Raw genomic sequence first — 7554 nt, forward strand, 5'->3', positions numbered from 1 at the left:
TTCTGTATAATTCTGACTGAATAGCTAACAGTAGTCAGTTCATCATACTTATTGTTGCTAATCTACTTAGCTTCCTTGTGCTGAATAGGGGATTGAACCAGATGACTAATAATGGTCCCTTTAATGCTAAAATGGCTGTGATTTTACATTTTTAAAAAACCCACAAAAGAATGAACTTAAGATTTAAGAACTGTTTTCCTTGGTCATAAGAATTTCTCTTAAATAAAAGCATTGGGATGATAAAAATGTAATCAAACCAACAACATAGATTCCTTTCCCAGTCCCAGTTTTGTCAGCTGGTGTTTAAAGGGAGTCAAAGATTGCTAATATTTTTTTTTCCTGTGCAGATCTGAAAACCATGAGTGAACGCCTCAAGAATAGGTACTACGTGTCTAAGAAATTATTCATGGCAGACTTACAGCGAGTCTTTACCAATTGCAAAGAGTACAACCCCCCTGAGAGTGAATACTACAAATGTGCCAATATCCTGGAGAAATTCTTCTTCAGTAAAATTAAGGAAGCTGGATTAATTGACAAGTGATTTTTTTTCCCCTCTGCTTCTTAGAAACTCACCAAGCAGTGTGCCTAAAGCAAGGTGGTTTAGTTTTTTACAAAGAATTGGACATGATGTATTGAAGAGACTTGTAAATGTAATAATTAGCACTTTTGAAAAAACAAAAAACCTCCTTTTAGCTTTTCAGATATGTATTTAAATTGAAGTCATAGGACATTTTTATTTTATGGAATAGATTTTAATCTATTTACTACTATTAAGGTAAATTTTCTATGGCATGTCCATTAGCTATTTCATGATAGATGATTAGGGGTTTCCTCAAAACCTGTGTGTGAGGAAATTGCACACAGTAGCAAAATTTGGGGAAATCCATAACATTTTCAGACCATGAATGAATGTTTCCATTTTTTTCTAATGGAATGTGAGAGTTTACTTTTATTTTATTCTGAAGGACTTTAAGGAAGGGATACATGATTTTAAAAAAGCCTGTAAGAGGTGAAATATGTGATGTTTGAAGTCTCTTTATAGACTTTTTATATATATTTTTTAAAACACTCATCTAGATGAGGTGCTTTGAGCAGTTCTGAAAAATGCAGTTCCAGGAAAGCAACTGCTTTGGTTCCTAAGGAAGAAATTCTAAATAATGCAAACTTTTAAAATAAGCATCTAGGTTTTTGATAATTCTGTCTACTTACAACAAACTTGTTAGTACATAACCACTATTTTAATAATTATTTTCTCTACACAAATGTGTAATATCATATTTGACTTTGCTTATGCAGGCCATAAGTTCCAAAAGATAATTTCCCTGCCCACAAAGGCATAAACTTGAAAACACATGAGATTGAATCAACATGCTTTAATAGGAAAAGATGTATGGTCTATATATGTATCAATCTGGTGAATCCTCGTTCTAATAAAGGTTCTTTTTCTTTTCTATGATACACACAGCCACGCTGATAATATGCAAATGAACATTTTCCTTTATGTCTCTCCAGATAATGTTTATTGTCTGAGGTAAATTAAATTCCCACCAGGGTTTGCTGTCAGTATTTTAACACCCACATTAGTATATGCGTCCAGGGTCATAACCCCCTAAAATCCATCATGCAACCTTATTAATCTGTCTTGGGATTCCAGTTTAGTGCTTGGATTTATTTCCTGATTACACTACATAGAAAAGTGAGACATCTGCCATTCCCAACTCTGGGAAAACCAACTAATATACAACCATATAAATGAAGGCCATCTTGATGGTCTCAACACTAATTTTTATGATGCAAATTTATACACTGATTTTTGTAAAGGACAAAGTTTTAAAAGCGTATTTAACTTGATGTTTTCTATCAGCATAAATAAAATGGTCATGAATAGTCATTAAAAACAGTTGCCAGTGATAATCTGCATGAAGGAAAAAGAACCCTGCAAATGGCTATTGAGTTGGAAGTATTGTTTTTGATATGTAAGAGATATTCAGAATGCTCACACTGAAAATGCCTCAACTTTTTAAAGTGTAAGAAACCACCATGAGTGGTGTCTAGATTTCTAATGAAGAATCATGATACAGTTTGGATTAAGTATCTTGGACTGGTTTTAAACAGTGCTTTGTACCGGATCTGCTGAAGCATCTGTCCAGCTGGTATCCTGTGAAAGTTTGTTATTTTCTGAGTAGACATTCTTATAGAGTATTGTCTTTAAAATCAGATTGTCTCTTCTATATTGAAAGCATTTTTATGTTTTCTAATTTAAAAATTAATATTTTCTTATAGATATTGTGCAATAAAGCTGAAGTAGAATGTGTGGTTTTTGCAAATGCTTTAACAGCTGATAAAAATTTTACATTTGTAAAATTAATATATTGTACTGGTACAAAATAGTTTTAAATTATATTTTAAAAAGCTTCCAATCTTGTGGTGTGTTTTATTCATTCAGTAGGCTGAGGTTAACAGAACAAATTATGATCTGGTTGATAACCATCAATTGAATCCTTAAACCTTAGATCTTAAGCATTCTGTTGCATTTGGGGGAGGTTTCATAAAAAATCCATAGGTCATCAGTAAGAGATTTTCAGGAGAGACACTTACTCTGTCTTTTGAGTTATCCACTGCATCTTACCCACTCACCCGCTAAACAATAACAAAAAAGATTCATTGAAAGAAGAGTGTTGTTGGTTTAGAAATTAAAAGATTTTTGTTTTTATACTTTGCATCTGTGAAATATATATGATGAGAGAAAAATACAGCCGATTTTTAAACATCTCCCATATGAGCTTCTAATGTGATTCAAAATGATGTCTGTAGGAAAGAATACTATATCCTTTTGGGGTTTGAGAGGACCCAACCAAGAGAACCCCTCTTCCCTACTGAAATCTAAACCAACTGAGAAGTTAAAAAAAAAAAAAAAAGGCATATGATGGCCAAAGTATTACCTTTAATACTAGTAAAATGGATATTGGAGAATGTGGCTTCCTTTTATCTGTGGAAAATGAGCTTTCTAAGGCTGAAACCCAGAATGTGATTGACCAGCTGCTCTGTACCACTGTTCTGTACCCCAGAATGTATTGACAAGCTGCTCCGTCCCAGACTAATGGGGCAGGGACTTTCCCATTAAGCTTAGTGCAGGCCAAGAGCAGTGGTGCCCTCTCAAGGCAGGCCGATGCTGAAGAGGCCCAGGTGACAGCGGGATATGTCAACCTGTGTCCATAATCTATGGTAAGTATGTTCTTACTTAACTCCTTAATTAGGCAAGTCCCTCCCAGGGGAAGAATGAATGAGGAGACAGAAGGAAGCCAGGAGATGACGTATGTCCTCTTTCAAGGAAGAAAACTTCTGTAATGGAGAATAAGTCTACTTCAATCAATAATTAAAAATTGGTCATATTTATTAGAAGCAAATGGTGAGAGGGAGACTTTGAGGTTTTCATTTTACCTGGACGAACAATTTATATTTTCAGAAACTAAGAAGTAGAAACAAGATCAGACTGAGGTACTGTGGACCAGTTAATTATTTGTCACCCCTTTAAGCTAATATTCTTTAGACTAACCCTCAGTGTTTATTTAAAAGGATTCTAAGTGCCGCACAAGGAAGGGTAACTGGTGGCAGCTCTTGTCGTTAGAGCTATTCTGCTCTATCCCTTAACTAGCATTCTCCTCTTAGCAAAGTGAAAATGCCAAAGAAAAGCAATCAGCTATTCTGGAATATCAAAGGTCAGAAATGGTTGCAAGTTCTTACTTAAGAGGTAGTAATTAGGTTGATACTTTTTTCATCTGTTGAAATATAGGTTTACAATTCTTGACCATTCAGACATTTTTTCCTGGCAGAAAAAAGGTATCTGTGTAGGGGGTAGTGGAGGGTGGACAGGGAAGGTGGTGGCAGGGACTGAAATAGATGGTTCTGAGTCTTAAAGCTGCTGGTATTAAAGTGGTATTTACTTTCTCCTTTGGGTGTATCAGTGCTATCAATAAGTGATGATGAAGATTGACAGGATGAAAACAATGTTACTAATGTCTCAGGTAAAGAGCTGAAAATGAATTTAAAGAGACAAAAAGAGCAAATGAAAGATTTCCAGGTATACTCTGGAGGAAGAGCTTCAACAAAGTAAAAAAAAGATGCTATAAGGAAGTGAGGAAACAACCATAAGCATTATGAAAGGTCCTCTTTAATGTATTTATGTATATATTTATGTATTTATATATAAATATGTAAATTCATATATATATAAATACATAAATATACAAATATATATATTTATATATTTATTTATGGGAACATCTTTACTTGTGGAAAAAGGAAGCTAACAATGACAAAGCTAGAGATTTTCTTTGGGTTTATTAAAAAGCAGTATTATTTCAACAAAGCAGAGAAAAATTAAAAGTCAAGCTTCCTGCTCCCTCTTCTTATTGGGAAGTCCGACAACTTTCACAGGATCAGGAGTTGAAAAAGATGAGAAATGATACGTGTAATTTGTGTGTGTGTATTTATATACATGTATATACATTTATATACAGTTATGTACCACTTAACGATGGGGATACCTTCTGAGATGCAATGTTAGGTGATTTTGTTGGTGTGTGAGCATCCTAGAGTGTACTTACACAGTCCTGAAGCTCCATAGTATGGCCTATGGCTCTTAGGCTAGAAACCTGTATAGCATTTTACTGTACTGAATACTGTAGGCAACTGTAACACAATGGTAAGTATTTGTGTATCTAAACGTATCTAAACATAGAAAAGGTGCAGTAAAAATATGGTATTATAATCTTATGGGACCACCATAGTATACACAGGCTATTGTTGTCCAAAGATCTTCATTTGACATGACTCTGGGTATGTGTATTAAATTTTATGAGCTGAACCAAGGGTTACCAGTCTCAGTTTATCTAGGTTTGAAGTTCTTTAAAAGAAATCCTGGAGAACTTGGAGGCTAAGGACCTTCTGAAAATAATGCACATGTTTACATGTGTGCACTTTCTGCATATCAGTTCACTTGGTCCTTGGACCCTCCTGAAGTTCATTGGTGAACCCCAGTTTAAGAATCTTTGCTCTCACTAGCCTGGGCAACGTAGTGAGACCGTATCTCTATCAATCAAAAAAACAAACAGAAAACATTTAGCCGAGTGTGGTGGTGCACAGTGGTGGTCCCAGCTACTTGGGAAGTTGAGGGGTGGGAGGATTACCTTAGCCTAGGAGGTCAAGGCTATGTGAGCCTTGATTGTACCACTGCACTCCAGCTTGGGTAACAGCGAGACTGTCTCAAAAAAAAAAAAAAAAAAAAAAAAAATCTTTGCTCTGTCAACCTGCCATCTTCTGCTGTTAACAGATGGACATCTAGTTTCTACTTAAAAACATCTGTGAATGGGAAATTTGCATTTTTATGCAATAGTACTGCCCATCAGTGGGACAGGCAAAGCTTTATAAGAAAGCCCGTAGGTTGGGTTGAAGTCAGCTGTTTATGATCAAGCTCTAATTCAAGTTTCCCACAGAGTACTATTAAGTTAGTGTGCCAGCACTGTTCCTATCCCTCAACACACCCAAGCATACTTGTACAGTTGTAGCTATGTGCACAACTCAAGATCCTGTCTACATTTTTAGGCTGGGCACAGTCGCTCATGCCTGTAATCCCAGCACTTTGGGATGCCGAGGCAGGTGGATCACCTGAGGTCAGGAGTTTGAGACCAGCCTGACCAACATGATGAAACCCTGTCTCTACTGAAAATACAAAATTAGTCGGGCATGGTGGCGCATGCCTGTAATCCCAGCTACTTGGGAGGCTGAGGCAGGAGAATCACTTGAAACTGGGAGGTGGAGGTTGCAGTGAGCTGAGATTGCGTCATTGCACTCCAGCCTGGGCAACAAGAGCGAAACACCATCTCAAAACGAAAAACATTTTTAAAAATTGAGGTATAGTTAACATACAAGAAAATGCACCAGTCAGGCCAGGTGTGGTGGGTCATGCCTATAATCCCAGTACTTTGGGAGGCCAAGGCAGGAGGATCGCTTGAGCCCAGGAGTTTGAGACCAGCCTGGCCAAACATTGTGAGACCCTGTCTCTATTAAAAAGCATAGGTCTTAGGTGCTAAGTTTGATGACTTTTGGCAATTGTCTACACCAGTATAATCACGACCCTAAAGACAGGACATTCTTATCACCTAAGAAAAGTTCCCTCGTGCCCCTTTCAGGTCAATTCTCCTTCCCTGTCTCCAGAAAACCACTTCTGATTTTTGTCACCATAGATTCGTTTTGTGTTACTTGATTTCATATAAATGGGGTCACAGTTTGTACTTCCTGGGGTCTGGCTCATCCACATTGTAATATGTATCAGAAGTTCATTCCTTTTTATTGCTGAAGAGTATACTATTGTAATATTCCACGATTTGTTTATCTTCTCAAGTTTAGTGGACATTTGGGTAGTTTCTACGTTTGGGTCTTACAATAAGCCTGCTATAAACATTTTTTTTGTAGGTCTTTTTGTAAACATATGCTTTCATTTCTCTTATGTGAATACCAAATAGTGAAATTGTTAGGTCAAGAAGTAGATGTGGGCTTAATTTTATAGGACGTTCCCCCTACCCTTGTATTAACCTGTGAGGCATTTTTTATTCCAGTTCCAATATTTACTGTTACCTATTCCTTCTAAGATTTACATTTATAAATTACGAATTTGTCAATTATATGTTTTCTCATATTCATGTTATTGAAAAAAATATTGAACAGGATGAGGGAGAGGATGAAACTTTCCATTATGATGCTGGATACCAATTTGCAAGATGCTAAAGATCAAAATCACTCGAGTGTGATCATGCAGGTGTATGTGAACTCACCTAACAATCCCGATCCAGGCTACATTTCCCACCTTTTCTATAATACCAAGCTGGAATAAATTTTAATTACTCTCTGTTTTACTTATTACATGTATCTTCTTGCACAAATGCTACTTCCCAACACCCTTTATGATGAAACACCATATTTATTATCTTGAGTCTTTTCTCATCAGACACTTTTTTTTTTTTGACAGAGTCTCACTCTGTCGCCCAGACTGGAGTGCAGTGGCGCGATCTCGGCTCACTGCAAGCTCCACTTCCCGGGTCCACGCCATTCTCCTGCCTCAGCCTCCTGAGTATAGACACATGCTTTTCTGCTCAAAGCTATAGTGAGGATGTGTTTAATGTATGTGAAGATGGTCTCAAGTGAATGTAAAACACTATATAAAAATTTTAACTTAACACTATAAATTTAAAAAAGGCTTTTCACCTAAATCAGTATTGAAGTATTGTTAATATGACTATTGTTTTATTTGTACTGGTACTAAGTAGGTTTGAATGAGCAGAAATAATTTAGTGCAGATAGTCAATCTGTGGATGCTGCATAGATTCCCATAACCAAGTAATTTCCTCAGGAATCTACCACTTATCGAGCACTTAGTAAGTGTTAAGCACTCTTCTAAGCATTTGATATGTACTAACTCACTGAATCCTTACAACAATTTACTTATTGAGTACTTAGTAAGTGTTAAGCACTCTTCTAAGCATTTTATATGTACTA

The 7554-nt window shown here is 36.3% G+C and overlaps 1 protein-coding gene across 3 annotated transcripts in view, besides 1 other annotated feature; it reads left to right on the forward strand.

The window, feature by feature from the left end:
- KAT2B (lysine acetyltransferase 2B) overlaps positions 1 to 2420 on the forward strand; it is a 113959-nt gene extending 111539 nt beyond the window's left edge. For all 3 annotated transcript variants that reach the window (XM_047449147.1, NM_003884.5, XM_005265528.5), the window contains one exon: positions 348 to 2420. In XM_047449147.1, coding sequence (XP_047305103.1) covers positions 348 to 541 — 194 coding nt within the window. In that variant the 3' untranslated portion in view covers positions 542 to 2420. The remainder of the gene's footprint in view (positions 1 to 347) is intronic.
- Positions 3112 to 3161: a silencer, noted in NCBI's record as "silent region_14135". NCBI's record gives its function as "represses an Ori minimal core promoter by ATAC-STARR-seq in GM12878 lymphoblastoid cells {active_cell/tissue: GM12878}" and the evidence as "EXISTENCE:reporter gene assay evidence [ECO:0000049][PMID:35858748]".

This window comes from Homo sapiens, chromosome 3 (genome assembly GCF_000001405.40).
Source record: "Homo sapiens chromosome 3, GRCh38.p14 Primary Assembly".
Lineage (NCBI taxonomy): Eukaryota > Metazoa > Chordata > Mammalia > Primates > Hominidae > Homo > Homo sapiens.